The 27,519-nt window shown below is 37.1% G+C and overlaps 1 long non-coding RNA gene across 2 annotated transcripts in view; it reads right to left on the bottom strand.

Moving 5' to 3' along the window:
• Positions 1–27,519, bottom strand: part of LOC105378810 (uncharacterized) — a 136,420-nt gene that overhangs the window by 29,202 nt on the left and 79,699 nt on the right. Inside the window, exon 1 of one of the 2 annotated variants that reach the window (XR_001738112.2) lies at positions 2,087–2,332. The exons of the other annotated variant lie outside the window; for it this stretch is intronic. This is a non-coding gene — a long non-coding RNA (uncharacterized LOC105378810). Of the gene's footprint in view, positions 1–2,086; positions 2,333–27,519 lie in introns of those variants that run through there. 2 annotated transcript variants of the gene reach the window in all.

Raw genomic sequence — 27,519 nt, 5'->3', positions numbered from 1 at the left:
CTTGTTCTTACAACTCATTTGTTTAAAAGGAATCCAGTAAGACAGATTGAAGAAAAAAAAATCTTTTAGCATTTTTAAAAATCAGAAAACAAAAAATAATCAGTAGAAAACAATTCAAATTACAGATGTCTCAACTCACAGTCTTTTTAATGGGAAATGCCAGATCTTAGGTAGCCCTTTCTTATGATGATAGGTTTAGAAATGTCAGCTGCCAGCTGAAAGCCTCATCAGCCTCAGTGAAGAGAGACTACACTCATTTCATAACCAATAGTACAAAATAATAATAATAAAACACTAGTGTTGTATTCTGAAAATGGCCCAATTCAATTATTCAGTATACCAGAAGCATGTACAACTGCTGACAGCTTCTTGAATGAGAGAACATGTCACATTTGAAAAAAGCAAACTTTCTCGTTCATTGTTGCTTGGGTGAGAATCCTAGCTGCCAATTTGTCAATTGAATCTCCAACCAGATTAGCCCTGTTACAGGGCTTTGTTGTGGAACAAATTAAGTAATCCTTTTCCTAATAACAGAGTTTCCACTTCTTCCCAAGAGAGCTAGTAGGAGATTAGGAGGAATTTGGGGTAACATATTACAATAAATATTATAAATATCTCACACATTTAATAAGATAATTTCTGTTGATTGAAAATCAAATGAATATTAAAAACACATTTATTGAAATTCTTAACCACTACAAGTAATATAGAGTAGGTACCTATCACATTGTTTTTAACATTGCATAAATAAGCCTGAGAGAATAAAAATTATACATTGTATTCAATAGCAGCTATTTTTGTTTGAAAGGTTAGAATAAATACAGTCATCTTGGTACAGTGTGTTAAAGACCAATAGAATATTCAAAGCATGTTAAGTGAGATTTAGTAACCATAAATTTGATATGTGTCTATGATATAGCTGCTCATCTTCAATAAATAGGTTTCTAATAAGCAGTTGATATTTATTCAACAAAGGCAACTGTTACAGTGAATAAATTAAATGCCTATTTAAGACACTTCATGCAGCATAAAAAGGTGGCACAATTTCCCCAGAAGTAGCAATGATTGTTAGTACTGGAGAGAAGCCAATGGTCTAACACCCTGTTGCCAGTGGGAAGCATGCCATGCTCTGCACTGCAGTGTGACCAACACTGCACAGCATGAGGACTCACAGCCATGAAGAATCAATTCAGGAATTTTGACAAGATTCTGTTGGCTGAAATCCTTGCAATCCCTAAACATCTACCCAGAATACACGAAAAAAAGAGCAAGTCTTCATTTCTTTTCAACAAGCCTGGAAGAAAAGGACTTCAATGTTTGCCTTGATTTTATAGTTGTATAATCTCCAGTTGTCAAATATGCCACTCAACCTAGAAGGTGATTTGCCAACTCAACACTGGGCATGTGTATGGAATTCAGTAATCTTGGGATCTGCCTTACTAGCCCTGAAGCAGGACGTTTCTGAAATTATTATGAACTTCTTTGGTATACAGGCATACCACAGAGATATTGCAAGTTCAGTTCCAGACCACCCCAATAAAGTGGATATTGCAAAAAAGAGTCACACATATTTTTTGGTTTCTCAGCACATATCAGATTCATGTGTACACTATACTGTGTATTTTTAAGTCTATTAAGTGTGCAATATGATTACACCTAACAAAACAATGTGTATAACTTAATTAAAATATGTTACTGCCGCAAATGCTATCATTTGATTCTTCAGCAAGTCAGGCTCTTTTTGCTGGTGGAGTGTCTCACCTTGATTTTGATGGCTGCTTACTGATCTTGGTGGTGGTTGCTGAAGGTTGAGGTATCTGTGGCAATTTCTTAAAATAAGACAGTGAAGTTTGTCTGATTGATTGACTCTCCCTTTCATAAAATATTTCTCTGCAGCATGTGATACTGGTTGATAGTATTTTACTTCAAGTAGAAGAACTTCCTCCAAAATTGGAGTCAATCCTCTCAACCCCTGCTGCTGCTTTATCAACTAAGTTTATGTACTATTCTAAATTCCTTGTTGTTATTTTAACAGTGTTCAAAGCGTCTTTACCAGGAGGAGATTCTATCTCAAGAAAGCACTTACTTTGCTCATCTGTAAGAAGTAACTCCTCATCAATTCAAGTTTTATCATAGGTTGCAGCTACTCAGTCACTTCTTCAGGTTCCACTTCTAATTGTAGTTCTCTAGCTATTTCCACCACAACTGCAGTTACTTCCTCCACTGAAGTCTTGAACCTCTCACAGTCATTTATGAGAGTTGGAATCAACTTCTTCCATACTCCTGTTACTGTTGATATTTTGCCCTCCTCCCATGAATCATGAATGTTCTTAATGGCACCTAGAATGGCAAATATTTTCCAGACTGTTTTCAATTTACTTTTCCTGGATCCATCGGGGAATCATTATTTATGACAGCAATAGCCTTATGAAATATATTTCTTAAATAATAAAACTTGAAAGTCAAAATTACTCCTTGATTAATAGGCCAAAGAATGGATGTTGTGTTACCAGGCATGAAAACATTTATCTCCTTGTACATTATTACCAGAGCTCTTGGGTGACTGGGAGCATTGTTAATGGGCAATAATATTTTAAAAGGAATATTTTTTGCTGAGAAGTAGGCTTCAAAAATGGTCTTAAAATATTCAGTAAATAGATGTGCTGTCACCCAGGATTTGTTGTCCCATTTATAGAAGACAGCCAGAGTAGATTTAGCATAATTATTAAGGGCCCTAGGATTTTCAGAATGGTAAATGAAAATTGGCTTCAACTTCAAATCCCCAGATGCAACAGCCCCTAACAACAGAGTCAGCCTTCACACAACTAGAGAGGCAGAGAAGGGAAGAGAAGGGAAGGGAAAGGGAAATGAAGGATGGAGGGAGGGAGGAAGGAAGGAGGGAAGGAAGGAAGGAAGGAGAAAGAAAGAAAAGACAAGAGGGAGAAGGGAAGAGAAGGGAAGAGAGGGGAGGGGAGGGGAGGGAAAGGAAGGGAAGGGAAGGGAAGGGAAGGGAAGGGAAGGGAAGGGAAGGGAAGTGAAGGGAAGGGAAGGGAAGGGCAGTTGTTTGAAGCTTTGGAGCCAAGCACTAACTTCTCTCTAGCTATGAAAGTCCTAGAAAGCATCTTCTTACATTAGAAAACTGTTTTGTCTACATTGAAAATCTGTCCCTTAGTGTAGCCATGTTCATCAAGAATCTTAGATCTTCTGAATAACTTGCTGCAGCTTTTACGTCAGCATTTGTTGCTTTATCTTGTACTTTCATCATACAGAGATGGCTTTTTTTCTTAAACCTCATGAACCAACCTCTGCTAGCTTCCAACTTTCCTTCTGCAGTTTCCTAACCTCTCTCAGCTTTCATAAAACTAAGGAGATTTATGATCTTGCTCTGGATTAGGCTTTGGCTTAAAGAAATGCTATGGCTGATTTGGCCTTCTATCCAGATCACTAGAAGTTTCTTCATATTAGCAATAAGGGCATTTTACTTTCTTATCATTCATGTGTTCAACTGAGTAACACTTTTCATTTCAAGAACTTTGCTCTTGTATTGATAATTTAGCTAACTGTCTGTGGCAACAGGCTTAGCTTCAGCCTATCTCGTCTTCCTACATGCCTTCCTCACTAGGCTTAATCATTTTGAGCTTTTGATTTAAAGTGAGACACGCACAGCTTCTCCTTTCACCTGAACACTTAGAGGCCATTATTTACTTACTAACTGGCATAATTATAATACAATATCGTTGTGTCTTGGGAAATAGGGAGGCCTGAGGAGAGGGAGAAAGAAGAAAGAATGGCTTGTCAGTGGAGCAGGCAGACACACACATTTATTAAATTTTCTGATTTTATCAGGCACAAATCATGGTGCTCCAAAAATTTACAATAGTAACATCAAAGATCACTATAATGAAAAAGTTTGAAATATTATGAGTATTACCAAAATATTACAAAGAGACAGGAAGTTAGCATGTGCTGTTGAAAAAATGGTACTGATAGACTTGCTGGATGCAGGATGGCCACAAATCTTCCCTTTGTAAAAAGGCAGTAACTGCTAAGTGAAAGGCAATAAAAGAAGGTATGTCGTATTTCCAGTTAATTTGCCAGAATCATTTTATTTTTTTATTTGAGTGTTTTTACAGAAAAATCATACATTTTGATCATTTAATGTTGTCATCTATTATGTCATGGGCTCAAATGATGGAGTATAATTAATTTAGTTATCAAATCTCTCTCACCAGCAATACCCATCTTTTATAGAAGTGAATATTTTTAGATAGTTTCTCATAGATTGTATGAGTTTAGGTGAATTCATAGTTTGCATTTTATAAACAAAGATGATTCTGCTTTTATTTAAGCTCTTCATAGTAAGCGTCTTACAAAACAACTTAGTGTTCACATTCAATTCAGTAATTAACATGGTGTTTTCTTCCAGTGAACAGAAAAGTTATTATAAAACAATATGTATTTCCATTCGTCATTGTCTTTTCTCACTTCTGACTAGCCACAAGGTCTTGACAACTTTTTTTCTATGTAAAATGAGACTGTGCTATGAATATCTCAGAGGTTTTAAGAGTATTGTACATAAGGAGCTCTAGCTACCTATGTCAGTGGTGTCGGTGTAATAAATCACGGCCTTTCCTTAACTAACCTGCCAGGCCTAAAATTGTAAATTTGTACATAGCCTAGTAGATATATATATTTTTAAATTTAAGGTCTTGCAATATAACAAATATGGAGATAATATGAAGGGACCCTTAAATCCCAGGAATTTCATTCTGAGAAAGTTTTGAATAATTTCTTGTAGGCAGACTGCATGTAAAGAAAGAGTCATAGTAAAACTTTGTCATAAGAAACCTATTGAGAAACTGTAAAATGAAGCTTTGGATTTAAGGAAGAAGCCAATAAAAGGAGGTATGCCTGTATTTAGGCACACCTAAAGGGGATTCTGGCTAGGGTTAGGGTTAGGGTTAGTGCTCCTTTGACAACCATTTGATTCTAATTCCAAGAAGAAAGAAAGAATGAAGCTGACACTATGGATAGAACAGTTACTCCATAAGTCCTCTCCAACTCCTCTCCATTCTTACCCAGCTCCAGGAATTGCTGCTTCAATATATTCATTAACCTTTGCAATTTTTCATTCTTCCAATTAGAATGCAAAATATAAGTTTGTGTGTGTGTGAATATGTTATTTATGTGTGGTCAATTTTTCTTTTGTTTTCTATCATCAAAAAGAGGAAGATACATAAACAATAGAGACAGGAAAAAAAAAGAAATTATCAAAAGCATTAAGGGAATCCCAATAAACAAAATCTACTCCTCTTCCATCACTTCTAGACAGTCTGAGAAATATAATAAAAAAAAGATGGAAGCTGCAATAGTCAGAATTCTAAGGTGACCCTCAAGTTCCTCCTCACTGCAACACATACACCCAGAATACATGTACTGCATAATCTCTGGGACTGTGACTATGATGAATTTTACTCTTGCGTTTAGATTTTGTTATATGGCATAGTTGGCCTTAAGATAGGGAGATTATCCAAGTGGGCTGATACGATCACATGAGCCCTTTAAAAGCGAAGAGTATTCTCTGGTCAGTCATCAAAGCCAGACATACAAAGCAAAAGAAGGATTTGAGTTGCTATGGCTGCCATAAAGATGAAGGAGATTGTGGGGTAAGAAATATGGGCAGCCTTTAGATGCTGTCTGGAGCCCCAAACTGAAAGCCAGCAAGGAAATGAAGTCTTCCAACAGCCAGTTGGCAAGGAGAAGAACTCTAAGCACAGATGAGAACTGCAACGTTAGTCAACTTCTGGATTTCAGCCTAGTGAGATCCTGAGCAGAGAAATGAGCTAGATAGCATATCGAGACTGCTCACCTACAAAAACCATGAGAAAATACATTTGTGTTGGTTTCTACCTTGCAGTTTGTGGTAATTTCTTGTACAACCATAGAAAACTAATACAGAGGCCAAAATGGCACTTTTTATTATTAATAGAAGTTATGTTAGAGAAGGTTGACTAATGTCAGAGTCAAATGAGCTTGGCCACTAATTTCCAAAATTAGACTGATTAGCTCACTCCCTCATAGGGAAAATGGAGTTAGAACAGGCCTTCCCAGGTGGAAGGAATTAGCACAGAAAAGACAAACAGTAAAGAAGAGAGGAGAACTGAGCTTCCAGAAGTCAAGTCCCCTCCCAAGAAGAAGAACAAAGGAAGGTGGACTGAGAATATTTAGTTATTTTACCCAAAACGACCAATCCGTTACATCATTCTTCTTACCCAGAGACAGAGTGAGTAAAATTATAGAGATATCCAGAGTTACAATAATTGAACTCATTTCACTGGAAGGAATATTAAGAATGGGAAGGAGTTTGGCACGGTGGCATGCATCTCTTGTCCCAGTTACTCAGGAGGCTAAGGTGGGAGGATCCTTGAGCCTGAGAGTTTGAGTCCAGCCCAGGCAACATAGGGAGCATCTCTAAAAAAGGGGGAAAAAACCTATGGAAGAATTGTGACCCAATAAAATGAAGGAAAGAGAAAGGAAGAAAAGATAGGTGAGAGGGGTAGGAGCCTTAGCTTAATTATCTTTATATCTAATCTCTAGGATTGCACTAAGTTTATAATTATTGCTCAATAAAAGCTTACTGAAAGGCAGATTGAACTGTTGAATGAATCACTAATGTATTCTCTTTTCACACTTAACATAATCGCCTTCATCTTGTCAACAGGGACACCAAAATAGTATAGCTAAGTGTGTAAGAGCAGCATAATGCAGCAGCGAGAACAGAGCTTGACACCATACAGACCCACATTCAAAAACTAGCTAGCTAACCTCTTAAGAACTAACCTCACCTCTGGTGTTTGTATATTAGAACTAATGCATGTCTTGGGGATAATTAGAAAGACAGAGTGAGAAAATCTATGGATAGTGCTCAGTACAGCGCTTATCACTTGGTAAGTGATTAGTAAATGGAAGCCATGAATCATGTGTTGACTATCTCCTCAATGTATATAGACTCAGACCTCCTCTAATAACAAGTACACAGTCAGTGTAGGCCTTAACAAGTGTAAAAGTGGATGACTGTCCAAGACAGGTGTTCCCATATGGTGGCTTAGTGTTTCAGACTGTGTTAATATAGTGACAACTCCACCTCAACATGATGCTTCAGGAATCTACTTAGTAGTGGAAGGAAACATGAAAAATCGCATACCTCAAATTAATGTTCATCACCCCTTATCAAAACCCACTGGCCATCACTAGGCACATGGCCCTGCACAAAAGTTAATCTTCCCTTGGTCCAGGAAAGGGATGAAAATCTGAAGCATTGGCTCACACTAATAATGTTGTCCACAGCAAGTTTCCTGTTCTTTATTGATTTGGGTCCTTCTGCTATACTCCCACCCACGAAGAAAACATTCAAACTTTCCCTTCCCGGACAAGTTCTTTCCTTCTTAACAACTGTGTCCTCTCAATGCCTTGATTCCTCAAAGCAAATTCACTCTCTACTGTGAATACCAAAATCTCACTTTCACAATTACTGGAATGGAGAAAGCATGGCTTTGTTTTTGGAAAATAATTTCTAAAAAATATAATAGTTTGATGTGATGATCAGAACAACTACTGGATTTTTAGTTTAGTTATTAGAAACATAATACCCCAAGGCAGTGTTCTTGGTCATGCTTTTCTTGATATTAGGCAAACCATAGTTGTATTATGTTGTTGTTTTCTGGGCAATTCACTTAGGCATGGACAAAGATAAACTGTAATGCATTCAGAAAAGCGCAGTCAGAAAGGTGAAGAAATTCTATGGCCAGTTATACAAAGAACAATTGAACTAAGAGATGGGGATTCAAAGTCAGAAAATGAGCAAACTCAGGCAGGACATAACTGCTCTCTTCAAATATTCAAAGGTCTGTCATGCAGGAAAAGAGGCAGACTTGTTCTGTATAACCATAGGTTATGGTGAGAACCAAAGGGTAGAAGCAAAAACCAGACCCAATTATCTTATTTTAAGAAAGACCTAACAAAACAAAACCATGATATATTAGACTTTCTCAGGGGGTAGTAAGTTCTCTGTCAGAAAAACGGTTCAAGCCAAATGCTAGCCATGTGATAGGGGTATTGTAGAAAGCATTTAAGTATGAGATGAAGACTAGACAGATATTTTTAGGTAGGATGACCATGCCATTTATTATCCAAACCAGGACAAGAGTATCCGGGGCTGCTGATAACAATTGTATCAAAAAACAGGCGTAAATTTGAACTATCCCAAGAAAAGTAAAATGCATGCCCTTGCTGCATTTAGGGACTCTTTCAAATCTGAGATTATTTTGTGTTACAATTTTATATTAAAATATTAGTAACAGTTTAATAATTTGTATCCATGAGGTATATTTGCAAGATAAAGGATTTCTGAACAGTCAACTGTGGGCCTTTTTTTTGTTTTTGTTTTTGTTTGGCATTGTGGTGAGCCAGTGAGGAATGTTTTGATCTGGTTGGCATTTCTGCTTTGTAGCTTTCCATCTAATGCAGTTACCTTCATGACTGATTTGGTTACAGGTAGGATTCGTCCAGGATACAATCATACACCAAAACGCAGGGCATAAAAAATGCATGGCATATATTTAAAAGCCATGTAAAAAGACTTCATGGTCTCCCAGATTTGTCCAACAAGGCTAATCTAGTCAGTCAAGGGAGATAGATTGAGTGCCTCCTCAGAGCCAGGTGCTGTGCCAGTTGTCATCTACTACTCAGTTCTCACAGCACTCCTGTCAGGTGGACATTATCACTTTGGGAGGTAGGTATTACTTTCTCCTTTTTACAGACAAAAACACTGAGTTTGAGAGAGGTTTCATAACTTATTCTCTCACTTATTAACATAAAGTTGATAACATAAAGTTAATAAGTGAGAGAATGAGAATTGGAATCTATCTATGTCTGTCCTTGTGTTTTTTTGTTTGTTTGTTTGTTTGTTTTTTTGAGACGGAGACTTGCTCTGTCGCCCAGGCTGGAGTGCAGTGGCATGATCTCGGCTCTGCAAGCTCCGCCTCCTGGGTTCACGCCATTCTCCTGCCTCAGCCTCCCGAGTAGCTGGGACTACAGGCACCCACCACCACGCCCAGCTAATTTTTTTTTTTTGTATTTTTAGTAGAGACGGGGTTTCACCGTGTTAGCCAGGATAGTCTCAATCTCTTGACCTAGTGATCCACCCGCCTCGGCCTCCCAAAGTGCTGGGATTTGTTAATAAGTGAGAGGGTGAGAATTGGAATCTGTCTATGTCTGTCTTTGTTAGAAGAATTTGTTTGTGACATTCCAGGGTATCAGCATTGGATAGAAACTCTAATCAACCAAAAGAGGATCTGATATTTGAATAAGACACCTAACATTTGTACAGTACTTTAGAGTTTCTAAGTGAAATCATTCAGTTTTATTTATTACACAAACTTTTGAGCATCTACTAGGTTCCAGGCACTGATCTAGGCACAAAGAATCCTAAAACAAGATTATTCCTACAAAAGAAAAGAGTCAAATTGCAACTAGTTGAGAAGAAATGTGCATTACTCTAGCCTACTTTGCCTATATCTTAGCCCAAAATACAATGGGAATATGTCACATATGTGCCAATTTTTCTCAGCTGAGAAGTGGCTGGGTAATGGCTCAGAGATTGGGAGAAAGACAAACTCTAAATTGTAATATTATGAAGTTGTCTCCAGGGTGGATGGTGAGGGGTGGTGTTGGAGCTGGTTTGAGAAAAGAAGGAGAGACGGTAGGGGGACTTTGAAGCTGTTGATGTGTAAATTGCTTTAAACTACCTATGGTGTCAGGAGCTGGGCAGAGATGTGTAGGAAGACATACAATTTGATCCTCATAACCAACATGGAATTAAAGCATGAACTGTCATTATTTACCCCATATAACAGATTAGAATCCCAAGTTACCAAAAGCCACACAAATTCCAAGGTTTGCACTCATCCCTTTCTGAAACACTGTGCCAGGAATGGTTGTCATTAGTAATGACAAAAAAAAAAATCTAGGAAATGGAATGTGATAAATAAGAGTAAAGTCCTTTCTGATATTTTATGTCTTGATTATTTGAGCTATTTGACTTAGAACAATAATGTTTTAAGCTCTTTGCTTTTTCTCTCCCTGATCTCTCACATCCTTGTTTTCTATAAAATTATAAATAAAGTAATGAGCAACAGAGAGAAATTTTAGGTAGCAAAATTGAAACAAAAAGGCTGAAGACAAGAAAATTGTCCCGTAAGATGTTCCAAAGAGAATTTCCAAACAAGAATGAAATTTTTCCTGCTGTAAATGCCCTCGGTGGACTGAAAAATGTCTTTGGAACCCAAGACAACAGGTAAAGTCTGTTCCTCATTAGTGTGTGCAATAATGACCCACTCTTACATTTTCTATTTCTTTGGAATTCATTTGTTTTCATTACATCAGGTGGTTGTTATTATGATGTGTTAATGGGCTTCAAGCAGGGCTGTCCTCTGTGACTCGAGTCTGATTACTAAAATGAAAGTTTTGATATTTCTTATTATACCAACTCAGTTTGCATTCCAATTGTTAATATTCCTGTCCACCAGAGCACTGCTCTGAATTTCAAAGGCATGTAAAGGAAAGAAAAAGTAAGAATCTTGTTTTTATTTTCAACTCTAGATTCTTTTCATCTCAAAGTTTGTCTTTCATGACTTAGCACTATACTTCAATTCTTTTATGTCCCCAGTCTCATTACTAAAATCTTTTAGAACGTTTTTAAACAAGAACAACCATCCACAATTTTTCCCTCTTTCTTCACTTTTGCTTTTAGGCATATGTATCATTTTTTTTGGCATAAGCAGCCTTTCCCTGTCTATGCCTTCTTCGGATCCTATATCCATAGGAAATATGCCTAATCATCTAGGTCATGGTAGCCTTTTGGTTCAAGATGATTGCAACGAATTTCTGTAGCTCATTATTTTTAAACATAAATAAGTTAGATGAGTTGCTCCCAAACATCACATTTCATCAAGGGTGACCCCCACTCTTAATGACATATCAATGCTTTTCTTTCCTTCAAATATGAGAAATGAAAATCTTGAAGCAAGAGATCAAATTTAGTTTGTTTATAAGACTAGAGAGAACCATGACACTTGTAGTTTGATTCAGACTACGGCTCTTTTTCAGAAGCTCATTCTAAATAGAGCCTACAAATGGAACATTTCCATACTGCCCGTTCTAGTTATCCAGCACCTTTGCAATATCAAATGCATTATTCTCTTCATTCTGTTCAAACAGGTACAGCAAGTTCCCTATTCAACTGGATAATGAATGAACTTATTAAAATGCCTTAATCTATGTTTACACACACAAGATGAGATTGGTGTTTACCTAAGGGGACTGTCTTTACTCACTAATGTGCAATTACAATAACTTAAGAAAACAAAAACAACCTTCTCACTCCCAGGAAAATGGTAATTGTGATAATTACAGCAATACTAAACAACCTTGCTTTCCAGACACTACAGAAATACATTTGTCTGAACACATTTTTGTTTTGTGTTTATGGAAAGATTTCTTTATGTTTTCTTTGTTTGGGTAACTGTTAATGTTATTGCTGTTTATACTATAGGACTTGCGGTTAAGGCTTATGTTTCTGACTGCCTCATCTTTTGCTGATGTCTAACACATGTTGGTTTACCTCACATAAGTTTTCCCCACTGCCCCCGCACCCACCTCCAAAATATTAAGCATCACAGATGGCACTTTATAGACAGCTATTTTTGTGTACGTGTGGGTGTTTAACTTTGTGTTCAGCTAGAGGAGAGATGTCATGAAGGCTTTGTCCTTCAAAGTGCACTGTTATGTTGCTGTTTCCTTTTAAAGTTAATTATATGTTTCATTGTCACTGATTAAATAGATGTTCTGAATGTGTCTATAAGCAGCCCTTTCTAATTTCTCCTGTTCGTTAGGGTCAGATTGCATTTATGAAGACTCAATACAACAGCTGTTTTTACATCTTTATAATATGGAAATTTAGAAAGGAGCTGTTAAGGAGTGAAAGCATTGAAACACACTGGGACAAAAACATATAGGGAGAAAGAACTATAGGCAAAATGTAAACTATTTCATTAAAACATGAATTTTCATACATAAAATGGTTATTCCTATAACCATTTCATTGGGTAGAACATAAAATGTGACCACATTACCTAATGATATGATCTTTTTTGAATTGAAGAACTCAAACAAATGAAAAAAACTAAAAAGAATTTTGTTTTTTTCACTATATGTAACCTGGTAACCGATCTAAGCAAAACATTGTAAAAATGATAATTATGGAAATAAAAGGGGTTACAGCAAAGATGCTATCATTAGTTTGTCCACCAGGGAAAGAAGTATTCTCACTGGCTAATGACATTTTTGAAAATTCAGCTCTTTCAAAGGAAATACTAGAAAGTTAAAAGAAAGAAGATACAAAAAAGAGTAGTAGTTTTAAAAAGTGAAGAAAGCAGATATCCAAGCTTATAAATAATTTGTGGCAGAATTGTTGGCGGAAGTTAGAAGTAGCAAGTAAGCCGCAGATATATAATCACAAACCCAAATGCCTATGGGGCAGATAAATAACCTGTGAGGGTGGAAGGTGAGATGATTTAAGTCATGGTCTTGAAACACTTGTTTGTCATTTAAATTCATAAGAATATTATTTTCTCCTACAAATAAACATGCTTTCTCATTTTTCTTGTGGCCTATCTTTTATTTTTCCATTTTTGACAGAGATATGGGAACAAGGAGTATTTCACTTTCTTCAAAGCTGTGTAATAATGGTGCAAGTATGCTTATAAATAGCAATTGCCAGTAGGTTTCAGTGTTAGGGAAACAAAAATGCATACCTGGTAATTCAGTATCTTTAAAATTGTGAAGGTCACAGCTCTCTGAACTAGCAGCCATGTACTTGTAAACTATGGTAGATTGTGAATTCATTAAGGGCAGAAACAGGCATTATCCATACTCAACACTTACTCTAGTACTTGACATATGGAAGGTGTTTATCAAAATTTATTGAATTAAATTAGTTTTTATAAATATGAAGGAAGACCAAGTGGCAGAATGAAACTGGAATAGCTCAACAAAGAGTAAGAGAGGTAGGGAAGAAAAATGTAGTGATGTACCTCTCCATATTGTAACACTTGAAAAACATCTCCATCCATCAAGCATATGTGTTTGGTTATTTGCGTGTTTATTGTGTATGTGGGTAATCTACACATCAAAAAGTCTCACACCCAGAGGCCATGTGGCCACAACAACAGTTCAGCAGAGTGGTAAGGGGCATGGTCTAAAAAGAAGGCTGAATGATGGATGACAACATGCTCATGCCATCTGCCTCTATGCCCGTATCAGTGTTTTCACACATTATGTATTTCCAAATGTGTCACCAAGAAAGGCTAAATTATGTTCACTGGATTAAGGTTAAATGAGCAGAATAAATGATGCATTTTTCAAAGTTCTAGAGTTAGAATAAAGGTTTAAAGAATAAGGAAAATAATCCCACTACTCCTAACACATTTTATATAAACTCATTCATGTCTTTATGACCCAGGTTAACAGAAGTTTGCAGTAAGGTGCCCCATAGATAATATCTCTTAGCATGCCTTGAGGGACGCTGGCATTTTGTTTGAGAGCAACATTATGCTCAAGTCCCTAGCCCAATTAAATGTAACATTTTACCTTTGAAAATTTCCATTATATGTGAAACTAATAGCTTATCCTAAGTTGCCTTGAAAAGACAGAAAGCATTGTACAACATAATTATTAAACCGTCTTTACAGGGTCAAGTGAAGTAGGAAAACAAACATGTCATTTAAAAGGCTTCTATTTGTTTACGTTACATAGACTTGGGATGCATTATTTACTTGAAAGATTGACTTCCTTATTCAATTTTTCTTAGCTAATGGTGAACCAACCTTTAAATTCTTCTCTGGATTTGTTGATCTATTTGAATTACCGGGGATATCAACACCAAATTGCTTAACGACCCATATTGCAAACATTTTATTTGATACATATGGATTATTAAGAAAAGAAAATAACGGCTTCGTTTTTTTTTTTTTTCTTTTCTTTTTTCTTTTTTTTTTTTTGAGACGGAGTCTCGCTCTGTCGCCCAGGCTGGAGTGCAGTGGCGCGATCTTGGCTCACTGCAAGCTCTGCCTCCCGGGTTCACGCCATTCTCCTGCCTCAGCCTCCCAAGTAGCTGGGACTACAGGCACCCACCACCATGCCCGGCTAATTTTTTTTTGTATTTTTAGTAGAGACGGGATTTCACCGTGTTAGCCAGGATGGTCTCGATATCCTGACCTCGTGATCCACCCGCCTCGGCCTCCCAAAGTGCTGGGATTACAGGTGTGAGCCACCGCGCCCGGCCAACGGCTTCGTTTTTATTGGGTAACTAGCTAATCAATTAATCAATTCAACAACAATTTATTAAATAGCAAGTATAGGGCAGTCTTTGTGTTCACGTTGACACTGCAGAGACAATGGTCTCTGCTTCCTAGAGATCCACAAACAGCATTGGGGTACATTGATCAACTTATTGTTTATAGCGTGCTGGTTTTTAATTCTTCCAGATGATTTACTTATTCTATACATATTTTCTTCGCACCCTCTTGTTTATATCATGCCTGTCAAAGATGAACCCCCTTCTTTTTTCTTTTGAGATGGAGTCTCGCTCTGTTGCCAGGCTGGAGTGCGGTGGCGCGATCTCGGCTCACTGCAACATCCATCTCCCGGGTTCAAGCGATTCTCCTGCCTCAGCCTCCCCAGTAGCTGTGACTACAGCTCCTGCCACCACGCACGGTTAATTTTTTGTATTTTAGTAGAGACGGGGTTTCACTATGTTGGCCAGGATGGTCTCAATCTCCTGACTTCGTGATCTGCCCGCCTCGGCCTCCCAAAGTGCTGGGATTACATGCGTGAGCCACCGTGCCCAGCCAAAGATGAACTCTTAAGTGATTCTTTTCAGTTTGGCGTTGAGAAAACCACACGGTCCCATGAGGTGAGATACTTATTTGCTTATAATATTTATTGTTCTAGAGAATTTTCTGGATAACACAGCAGCACTTCTGTGCTGAAGAATTCTATCCATGTATCATTAATACCTTCAGCAGGATCATTACCTCCAAAACCAATAAGAAATAAACTATATTTTTCTGTATGACCCAAAGTGAAATATGCACAGGAAATTCATAGCATCATTTTGATCAATAAATAATTAATCAAATTATATATTTAGGAAGCTTAAAACAACACAGCACAAAATTATGGTGCTACAACCATCTTCCAATATCTTCTTTCATTATTTTCCAATGGCTAAGTAACAAGCCATTTCCAACGGCTAGCTGAGAAGAGGAGGCTGCCTTTTCTGATCTAAGGTTAATTATCTTCAGTATCGATTTCAGGATCTAAATGGAAATTGTGAGGCAGAAAAAGATAGGTAGAAGAGAATTACAGAATAAAAAGCCTGAAGCCCTTTTTCCTATGAATACTGTTTTTGGACACAAAGGGATTTTGCCTACCGATGTAAACAACTCGGGGAGGATGGCTTTCTCTAAAGTCATAATGTGTATAAGAGGATTGTGAAGAAAAGTGGAGGCTCCTTAATAGTAGTCCATAAACAAGGATAGTCATTGCAGATTAACTTGTACCCATCTTGGCCATTTTTCAAGCTTATTTCCCAGATTCACTATGCTTCAGGTACTTTAAGAGACAGAGTTACATTTCAGTCCTGCATCTGCCTCAAACTACATTACATCATCAGATGAATTTTTAAAATGTATTTAGAGTGCAATTTAATGAAGGTGGAAAGCACACGATCTCTAAATACTGTTCTGATCCCTGAATCTAAATCTGATTGGCAATTTATTCATCAGTATATGATAACAACATTTATTATCTTAGCAAACTCCTGTGCCAACCAGTTCACTTTATCTGACCCTGAGGAAACTACCTGGGAGAGGAGTTAGAAAACATTAAAATACCCACAGGAAAAAAAAAAATCAATAAAACCCAAAAACTTCAGAGTAGGGCAGGGCATGGTGGCTCACTCCTGTAGTCCAAGCACTTTAGGAGGCTGAGGTGCGTGGATCACTTGAGGTCAGTAGTTTGAGACCAGCCTGGACAACATGATGAAAACCCATCTCTACTAAAATTACAAAAATTAGCCGGGCGTGGTGGCACACGGCTGTATTCCCAGCTACTCAGGAGGCCGAGGCAGGAGAATCGCTTGAATCCGGTAGGCTGAGGTTGCACTGAGCCGAGATTGTGTCACTGCACTCCAGCCTGGGTGACAGAGCGAGACTCCAAAAAAAACCACCTCAGACAAGTTTCCTTGCCGTATAATGCATTGATATTATACTTGAACCTGTGACTTGTTTCCAGGCACTAACACTTTATGAACAGGAGAATATACTAATAAGATGTTGTTCTAATTCCACAATTATCACTTTTTCTGTTTTCCAAAGTGTTAGCCAAAGCATTAGACATCTTGTTGAGTAAAAACATTAAGTTTCATTTGTGGACTTTTCTCTCTAAGGTGGAAACATTTTTCTGTAATGCATTTGGCATATGCCAATTTTAAAATGTATGACATCAACTCCTATTCATGAGTACTTTTCACAGTGCTCAAATTCTTACAAGTAATATTTTCCTACACAGTTGAAATCCCAATTAATCAACATTTTAGTACTCAGTTCTCAAACTTGTCCCATGATGCAATCTGCTTCAAGGACTCACCCTACACTGTGTCTTGAAATACCAAACTCATCATAAGAATTGTAACACTGAAATGAACTCTCCATAAATATTAAAAATTATCTAGCCCTCACAGATGTTCATTCTGCTTATTATATGCAAACTTTCTGGATCAAATGTTCAATAGGAATATGTTAGTATCCACCAAAGATTGGTTTTGGCAGGGTATATGTTGATATCAGCAGGAAATAAATAGGAAAACATTAAAAGGTATGAAACTTTAAAACAATAGCTTAAAGGTGTTTTATAAACTACAGATGGCTTACAACATTTAAGCGAATATTTGCTCTAGGATGAGAAACAATCAGGACTGAGAAAAAAGGGAAAGCATTTGAAAATAATGTCTCCCATGCAATATGTTGTAATTAAAGCAGAGATAAGTAATGTAGAAATTGCCTCCCATTATCTCTCCTCATAGGAAAGATGAAGTATGCTAGAATATATATGAGCACAAATCAGGACAAAAATTTAAAAGCATTCAAAGTAGTAATCTTAAATCTTAGAATTATGCAACATGGGATCTCTTTATTAATGTAATGCCAGACCATACACCACAACACCCAAATACACATAATTGCCACATGTATACGCATACCAGTTTTGACTGTTCTAAGAGATACCACCACTGGCCATGAAAACAACAACAAAAAAGGAAAAAGAATAAAAACAAAGGTTAATTTCAAGGAAGATGGAATCTGAAGGTCAAACAAATTAAGTCTGCTGGCTTCAACACGCTTCTCCAGAAATGCTTCCAGAGTTGGGCAAATCACTCCACACCTTTCCTTCCACTATTGCTGAATGAACAGATCAAACTCAAATGAGGCTTTCCCTCCTTAGGCTGTGATCACATTCGTGCTTAGAGTTGAGCAGCACAGAGCTCAGAGATCATTAACAATGTACAGATGGGAGATGACTGTAGAAGAGAGGCAAAGGAGAAGCTGGGGGCAGTTCACTGATGTTCTCCACATATTCATAATTGAACCTGTGTGCTAACGTGATGCTAGAAGGAACCCTTGCTTTGGGTATTGCCTCTGGAATGTGGCATTAAACAATGTTCCCTAGCATCCCCATGAAATTTTTTTTTTGAGTAGGTAAGAAAGTTTGGACTCCCTATAGTAAAATTCCTTTGAGTTCTATATTGTATTCACACATTTTTCACTGAAAAAAAATTTTTTTTACCCCTCCAGTGAGCTTGGCATTATACACAGGCACAGAGTTTCTCAGAATGAAGGTCTGTTTGTATTAATACATAAAGAAACCTATTGTAAAATATTATACTAAACATATGCTTTTGATGGTGGTATAGGACAAGGTATAATGGAGAAAGTAACTAATAATTCAAAAGCAGATGTAACATGAAAAAATCGACATTTTACAAATTATTGCAAATTTAGGTTAATGTAATGTGTGCAAGTATTATATATAGTATCAAAACTAATAATCACTGTTGATTCTCTGTAATTTTTAGATATTATGTCAACTGTGTTATAATGGAAAGGTGGACCAAATATTATCAGATCTGGCTTCTAATTCCATTTCTGCCACTAAAATCCTTCAAGTTTTAATTTCTCATGTGTTAAAAAATTAATTGAAAAAGTGCTATACTACTTTCCATGGTTACCTTTTAAGATAAAATTAAATAATAGTTACACTTTCATATGAATTTTTAAATATTGCATGAATATACAATATTTTTATTATTGGAGATGCTGAATGAGACAGATGTCTCAGTCTTGAAACATTTAATGAAAGATTTACTTAAACATCAACTTCCCTATGGTACTGTTGTGTTGTGAGCACAGGAGATGCCTGTCTAAACACCACACAGAATTCTGAAACTGCTCTGATACAAATTTAATTGATTAAGCAATGATTCTTCACAAAATCTTTATAAAACCCTGGGAGCCAAGGGGGAAATCATGAAACTTAGGGAAAGAAGGACACAAAAAAGGGATGGGCAAAGAAGTACCTCATAAATAGGAGGCAGGCAGTAAGGACTGTTTTCCTTTCCTCTCTAGTTAGTGGCAAAGCCACTCACCACAGTAAAGATGGATTATACCTAGGCCAAGGAGTAATTAGTAATATTTCAGAAATAGAAGCCTGAAAGAAGACAAAGAATAAAGAGGAGGCCGAGAAAAGCAAAGACAGGCGCAGATAATGTTCCAGGAGAGATAGTCAACTCATTTTATTGCTTGGGGATCAAAAAGAAGATACCTCAAATCAAATCAAGTCATGCAATAGATGTGGGATTTCAATTTTTACAGGTTGATTAGATTCTATTTTCACTGAACCCTGTGGACTTTCTGAGAGGACTTGAAACTCCTTTCAGTGCTTTGCAAAATTTCCCTACATGTAAATGTTTTGTAAAGACGTTGCTCTGTATATTAGCCACCAACAATAGCATGGAGAGGACAGATGCCAGAATAGGTACAGCGTCAAGGGTTTGAACCACATTTGTGATTCTCAGGCCCCTAGACCATCTGAGTGAAAGGAAACCCCCTTTAGCAGTCATAAGCTGTTCAGCAGCAGTGTAAGCTTCCAACACTTTACTTCCTAAAGGGTAAATCTTCCTCCCCGTTTTTTAATCCCTTAACACCATGTGCACAAACACAAAGAAAGAGTGGTTCTGGCCCACTGAGTACTTTGCAGAGCTGAAGTATCAGGAGGGATAGAAACTCAACAAAGAGAAATGCATACCACTGCTGCAACTGAGTCCTCAGGTGAAGAGCACATCACTACTGAGGATCAGAGCATCTGTAGCAGGTGCAAGATACCAAGTGCCCTAAGTCCGTCTTGTCAAAGGGACTAATAAGCAGGTACGCTAATGGTCCCCACCTTTCCTGATTGCATGCCTCCTACTCAGAACTGTGTGGTGTTTATTAAAACTGTCATATTGCTAGGCACTCAGCATAGCTATGAGATCAGACAAACATGTAAGTATAATGCAACCAAGAGAAATCAATTTCTCCTGGGCTTCACTCCATTTAAACAATGTGAATGCAAGTGGGAAAACAAAACAGGCTTTGGCAGACTTAGGATTCCTAGCTAGTGAGTCTGTTGAGGGAGGAAGTTGTATGTGCCACGTTGTGAATTATTATACCAAGACTCGGGTGGATATGTGAAAAGTGAGAGGTCTGTGCTCTTGGGTTTCCATTTCCAAAATGTCTTTGTTGAGGTCTTTTCAATTTAGTCCTAGAAATAAACAACTGCTGAGAGTTAGTGGTGATTGAAAGTAGGAAGGGGAAGAAGACTTCACTAGGCTATGTCTGAAGAGGCTGGATCCCTAAGCACTTCAGGATTCAATGAGGAGGCTAAGGGTTTTAATTGGATTTGGAATTGTATTAGTAGTCAGGAAAGGTTTGGGGTGCACTGTGTCTGCGCTCCACGCCCAGCAGGCAGCTGTGTTTCAAAGCTGACCTTTATCAGATGGTGGTATGTTTATTTCAGCCTGTCACAGAGAAGGAATAAGAAAACACTGCTACTAGGCCATGCAATTTTAGTTAATAATAATTAAAAAAAGATACTCTGCTTAATTGGCTAAATTCCTAAATGGAGAAATTGGGGGGATATTCCATAAAGGGAAGGGGATGGATGCCAATCAGTTGTGAAGGAACTAAAGCCAAAGGCACCTTGCACAAGAACTGATGAGAAGAAAATTGAGCTGAGATGAAACAAAAGTAGAGAAACTTGAAATAGATGGCAAGCAGGGCTTAATTATTCTAAAAAATTCAGGGCAGAACTCCAACAGTGGTCTATTTAACTCCCCCCGATTCCTTCTCCCCTTCCCTCATCAAGGCATTTTCTAGGTATCAAAAACTTCAGCACGTTCAGAGACTTGGCTCCAAGGTTAAGAAGGAAATGCTACACTGTACTTTTATACAATAAAGTTCAGCTATATCTCAAACTCTATTTCCTTTTTAATTACAATTTTCTTACCTGAGCCTCAAGTGATTCTAATGTTACCATTAACCCTGGAGGCCCGAGTTATTTTATGTTCAGCGACAAGTATTGGAACTGCAGTTTCCACATGGGCAATTTCTCCCCTTTGTGAACTTTAACCAAGTGGATAGCATCAGACCAAAGTTCCTAGTTACTCATGTCCTATAGAGAGACAAGTGCCCTAGGGAAAGCTTAGAAATTTGAAATAAACTGAAGATTATATTGCTTCTGAAATATTTGGGCCCTGTGGAATTAGAGAACAGACAGTAGAATTTTAAAGCGAAGGATGTTCTAAAACTAGGCTTTTTATAAAAGATACTCTGGTGGCTGTTTTAAATTTAAGCTCTAGTTTTAGCCAAAATTTGTTTTAAAAGCACTATTGAAGAGGATCGTTAAGAAAAGATGGAGATTATTGGGGAAACGTATTTGAAATAAAATCGGATCATTTATAAACTTTTAAGAGATTTGGCTAACAATTGTTTCTAATTGCATTGTTTATGGCCAGGATGGCAAATACGTGACACAAATATTTCCACACCAACCCTTTTCCCGTGGCAGGCATTGTCAATCTATCACAACACTCTTTCCATTTCCCAGATATTGCTAGCTGGATCATTAAAATGAACTTTCCCTTCTTCCTGGGCACACAGCTAGACTTCACTTCCCAACCTCTCTCTAGTTATGAATGACCATGTGACAGTCCTAACCATCAGTATGTAGCAGAAAGGATGTCTACTTTATTCAGACATGACCCCAAAGATACTGCTTACATATGATTTTTCCCGCTAGTTGGATCGGAGATGATTCACAAATTGGCCAGATGTATTATAGAAAATGTCACTGAAGGCAGTACTGCTATAACAAAAAAAACAGTTAAGCAGCAGGTGGCGCTAAAACTGGTATCTGAGGCTGGACAACTACAATCCTTGTGCAGTACAAATATCTGGAAAACTGTCTGAGATAACTTGGAAGCATGCCTTACATGTTGAGCGAGAGCTCTAGGGGAAGTGGCTGGGAAGAGCCACAGTATTGTCCACCATTGACTAGTCTAAGCAAGCTACTTAAGAATAAGGCAAGAATGGAAACAAAGTTCCAGGGATCAAGGGCCATATAGATTTCGAAATCCAACTACTTCTGCGCTCCATACAAAGACTGAAAAAAGTCTCCAGTGACCAACAGTTTCTAGTTTCATTTCTCAGGTAAACAAAGTCACTCCACCTTCCCTGAAAGATCGCATTAACGCTATTCCCTTACCAGGTCTATTGTTTCAGGTAGCCTCTTTTAGAGAAATTGAGAGGGAAAGGGAAAGAGAAAGGGAGAGTTGCCGGGAGGGAGGCCCAGTCTGAACTGCTATGAAATCTCAGTCTCTAACCCGTTGTGCCCTCAAAAGTCTTCTCTCATTCTAGCAAAGGCATTAGTGGTTTTTCTTCTGCAATCCCAGACCATTTATTTTCTACAACATATTTGGCAATTGCATTTGATTTTTTATAAGTTTAAGAAGACACTGTGTGTTGTCTTCCTGTCTGGGTGTAACCTTCTTTAAATCAGAGCCTGTGTCTGTTGAACCTCTAAAGCTCCTAAAAAAGTACTTTGAATATAGAGTAATGTAGTTTTGATACATTAATAAATTGCCAGTGTCTCCAAGCATCCTCTGCTTTGTTTCGTTTTCTGTAATTAGTAACTGATTTGACCCCACCACCTACTTCTTGAGACTTCAGGGACCCCATTTCCTGAAACTCCACAACTAAAATATACACCTCTGCCTCAAAGCTTTCTAAAATCCCTACCAATCTCCAAAACTACACATCTATCATTTCAGTTCCAAGTAAACCATCTTCCTCACTCAGAGTAATATATAAATTTAGAGCCAATCTAAAGTCAAATCCCCCCTTCCCTCTTGACTGACCGCCTATCTGCCTGCCTTTTTTCCTTTCTTCCTTTATTTTCTCCATTCATCCTTCCTTCTTCCCTGTTTCTCTCCCTCTTCTTTTTCAACCTTCTTTCTTCTCTTCCTCTCTTACTTTTTCATGTGGATGAGAAAATTGAATCACAAAAATGATAGAGTGCTTGGCCACTGTCACATTGCAATTAGTCAAGATTCATATCTTCCACTTATCTGCTAAATATATTTTTGTTACACCCTGTATTCATCCCATGTAATTATACACTCAAAACTCAAAGGGGTAAATGCCTTCAAGTATAAACTTTCAGTCTTTTCCTTATATCTAGAAATTTTTTGGAAAATAAATCTTGCCTTTTGTTCTGCTACATATGAATCTAATATATCATGATTACTCAGATATTAGAATATAGAAAACATACTGACCCAAATCATTTGTCCCACACACATCTGCAATCTTAGGAATTTATCTGTGGAATCCAGGAGCTCACTCCACAAAGGACAGAACCTTCTGGTTATATTGCTGAAAACATACTTCCTGTTTTTTTTCTAGCTTTGTGGCAGAATAATTAATAAATAAAAATTGTATGTATTCAAGGTCTACAATATGATTATTTGATATAAGTATACATTGTAAAATGATTATGTCAATCAAGTTGGTTAACACATTTCTCACCTTACATAGCTGCCATTGTTTTGTGTGTGTATGTGTGTGTGCATGTGTATTGTAACAGCTTTTAAGATCTACTGTTTTAGCAAATTTCAAGTGTATGATACAGTACTGATAACTATAGTCACCATGCTATAAATTAGATCCCAGAGCTTATTCATCTTATAACAGAATGTTTGCTGTACCCTTTGATCTAGATCTTCTCATTTTCCCTCCAGCCCCTAACCACTATTCTATTCCCTGCTTCTTTATGTTTGCATTTTTCTGGGTATATGCAATTCCACTCACTGACAGAGGGGGACCAAAAAGAAGAGGATGAACAAGTTTGTGGGGGGAAGATAAATATCTTTTGGGCAGTTTAAATTTAAGAAATAAAGGTAGTAACCTGTAGTAGAGTGAAAGATCGAAACATAAAACAGAGGTAAAGTTATTAGCCTCAACCAACCCATGCTATATGTTTTCCTTCTGATCAATCCCAGCTACTAATGGAGCGACTAAACAAAATGAATTTTTGCATCAAAATGAGACATTTTACCCTGAGTACTTTCCAATGAAACTATATATAATTACCTGATACCAGTATAGTGATCTAAACATTAGAGGACTAAAGTCGCATATTCATACCACCACGCGCAAGGGCAGCATAAAGGGATGAAGTGAAAATATATCAGTAAGCAAAATACTGATTGAAGGTAGTAAGCTTCATTTACCCATTTATTCTATTTCCAAGTGCATTATTTAAAATATCTTTCTCATTTCTGACACTATAGGGTCTTCTCAGACCCATAGGACATGATAACTCATGGTCTAATACCAATAATTTGAGACTGGGAATTTAGTAAATTTTAATCAATGTTTTATGTGTACATCCGAGAAAACATATACTATTAAAATCTTCAGTAGAGTTCTCTATGTATATCTGCTAGATTTTGTTTATTGGTTGCTTTGTTTAAATCTTTATCTCTATTAAATTTGACTACTTGATCTATTAATTACAAAAATGCTTTTAATTGTGTGCACTTCAATGGTATATTCATCAAATTCTATTTCTTTTTTTCTACAATATATTTGAAGTCATTGTTCAGTGACCTTACTTTTCCTTAGGATTTTTTTTTTGCTTTATATTCTAAATATTTGATACTGATAAACCAACATATTTTTTGTTTAATATTGCACTGATATAACTTTTATACAACTTTTTAAAACTTTTCTTTGTATTTATAATTTACATGTATCTCTTATAAAGAGCATACAATAGGATTTTAAAAATTCATTTATATTAACTTAAAAAATAAGTTGTCTATACTATATTATGATTATTAATCTATTGTATCTATTTCTACATAATTAGTTCCAATTAAATTATAATTATTTATTTTTAATTAACTAAATTATTTGTAATTCTATTTGATTTTATATTTAACAGTTTGCACCACAATTCTGCTTGTAACAGCGACTCATTTTTAGCGGGAAATAATTGAATAAGCTCAAAGACCCTAAGGTCGGGGGTGCTGAGAAGAGCCCAGGCAGCATAACATGAGGACAGAGCTTTTCTTATAAGAAAAGGGAAGAGATAAAAAAGATGGACAGAAAACAACATAGATGATTTGGCAAAATGAGATAGAGGTGACATATTGAAGGGGTAGTAGATTCATCGTAGGGTAATGTCCTGCTTGAAATGTAAATAGAATTTTGCCCTGGCCTATGGAAAAACATTTTTTTTGGTCTCCTCTTCATCCTCGTTCGTCAAATCTTAATAAACAATTATACTCAGGAAAACTTTTTCACATTCTTTGTACTTTGTTTTGTTCTGTTTTCTTTTCTTTTGTTTAAATAATAGGAGGAACTGTCTTCCATATGGGGATATACCAGTGAAGTCAGACCACATTAACAGCAACAAAAATCCAGAGTGAGTGTGAACATCAGAAAATAAATGATATAATACTTTTGTTTTATGAGAAAAGGAATTAGGATGATGAATGTATACATAAAAGATGAAGCTGAGTCATTGATCTATCCTGGTTGTCTATAATTTTTGTTTGCCTTTGCTATGGACTGGATGTTTGTTGTCTCTCCAAATTTTATACACTGAAGCACTCATAAAATGTTTAAAAATTAAGTATTCCGCCGGGCGCTGGCTCATGCCTGTAATCCCAGCACTTTGGGAGGCCGAGGTGGGCGGATCACCTGAGGTTGGGAGTTCGAGACCAGCCTCACCAACATGGAGAAACCCCGTCTCTATTAAAATATAATATTAGCCAGGAGTGATGGCGTATGCCTGTAATCCCAGCTACTGGGAAGGGTGAGGCAGGAGAATCGCTTGAACCCGGGAGGCGGAGGTCGCGGTGAGCCAACATAGCACCATTGCACTCCAGCCCCGGCAACAAGAGCACATAAGGTTTTGGGAAGTAACTAGATTAGGTATGAGTGTGGAGTCCTCGTGATAGTATTAATGCCCTTATAAAAAGAGGAAGAAACAGGAGAACTCTCCTTCTCTCTCCCTCTCCTTACCTCTCTCTGTGTGTCTGTCTGCCTCTCTCTCTCTCTTTTCCTCTGTTAAAACACCAAGGAGCCATGTGAGGACTTAACAAGAAGGCCATTTACAAACCAGAAAGAGAGCCCTCACTGACACCCAATCTGTCAGCACCTTGATCTTGGAATCCCCAAGCTCCAGAACTGTGAGAAATAAATATTAGTTATTTAAGACACTCAGTGAATGGCATTTTGTGATAGCAGCCCAAACTGACGAAAATAGCCTTTATATTCCCTAAATAAATTGCATAGAATGACTCCGAAACTGTAACCGATTAAAAAGTATACATTTGTGAGCTATCTTTGTGTCTTACCTGCTGCAATCTTTAATATTGCATATTTTAAGAATAAATAAAAAGTTAAATATGTAACAATTCATAATGAGACAAAATTGGGATTTGCTTCTGAAAGAGGATAATTCAGAAAAATAATTGAACGAGAAAATCTATACACTAAATTGCCAAAAGACACTACAACATTTCAGATGAGTTTGAGAAGTAAGGCTATTTAAAGGGAAGGTAGGATCTCCCTTATATGTAGCTGCCACAGACTACCACTAATATTCTTACTAAATTCTATTGTGAATAGGTATTCTGTTTAGTGCTAAACTGAAACTTTTATTATATCAAAACTTTTGTCTGAGGCTATGTTAGTCAGGGTTCTCCAGAGAAACCTAGCCTTTAGAGTGAGTGTGTGTGTGTGTGTGTTTGTGTGTATGTAGCTACCATATTGACCCAATTATGACTTATTTGACCGAATTTATGGTGTCATGACCCATAATATGACATGGCTATACAAGCCATATTGTAGGATAACTACCAAGCAATTCTCTACCTCTATGAGATCTACTTTTTAGCTCCCATATATGAATGAGAATATGCAATATATTTGTCTTTCTGTATCTGGTTTATTTCACTTAACACAATGACCTCCAGTTTCATCTCCTATTGGTTACCTTTTAAACCCCAATTTTTAGTGTTTATAACATTCAAAACTATCTCTTGATTCTTCATTTTGTCAGATGAATATAATTGAACTTCTATATTTTCCTCAACTTTTCCTAATCCTCTTTTTTATTTTACCTCTCAGCTACATTCTAAAAGGTATGCCATCTATGCAGGTCATATTTACAATCTAAACTGCAACCACAAATAAATCTTCTATGAATACCGATTGACTCTAAAATTTGAGAATCAGTATTAACCTGACTATGACCATGCATATATTGTTCAGTGCTGGTCCAAGCAGTGACACTAGGTTTAGTGGGCCCAATTCAATGACTTTTGGGCTATTCCAAAGAGAATGTTTCTACCAGCAATGTCAGGTGGATTCTCTTTTCTTATACTCATTCAATTACTCAGAATTATGCCATAATTCAGTTTAGTTTATATTTCAAACTCATTGTTATTCCGAGAGCTGCTAAAGAGTTTTCTACTTCGTAATTTTTTTTTTTTTTTTTTTTTTTGAGACAGAGTCTCGCTCTGTCACCCAGGCTGGAGTGCAGTGGCGCGATCTCGGCTCACTGCAAGCTCCGTCCCACGGATTCATGCCATTCTCCTGCCTCAGCCTCCTGAGTAGCTGGGACTACAGGCGCCCGCCACCACGCCCAGCTAATTTTTTGTATTTTTAGTAGAGACGGGGTTTCACCGTGTTAGCCAGCATGGTCTCGATCTCCTGACCTCGTGATCCACCT

The sequence above is a fragment of the Homo sapiens genome, chromosome 1 (assembly GCF_000001405.40).
Source record: "Homo sapiens chromosome 1, GRCh38.p14 Primary Assembly".
NCBI classification, from domain to species: domain Eukaryota; kingdom Metazoa; phylum Chordata; class Mammalia; order Primates; family Hominidae; genus Homo; species Homo sapiens.
This window is presented reverse-complemented; position numbering and strand designations above follow the sequence as displayed.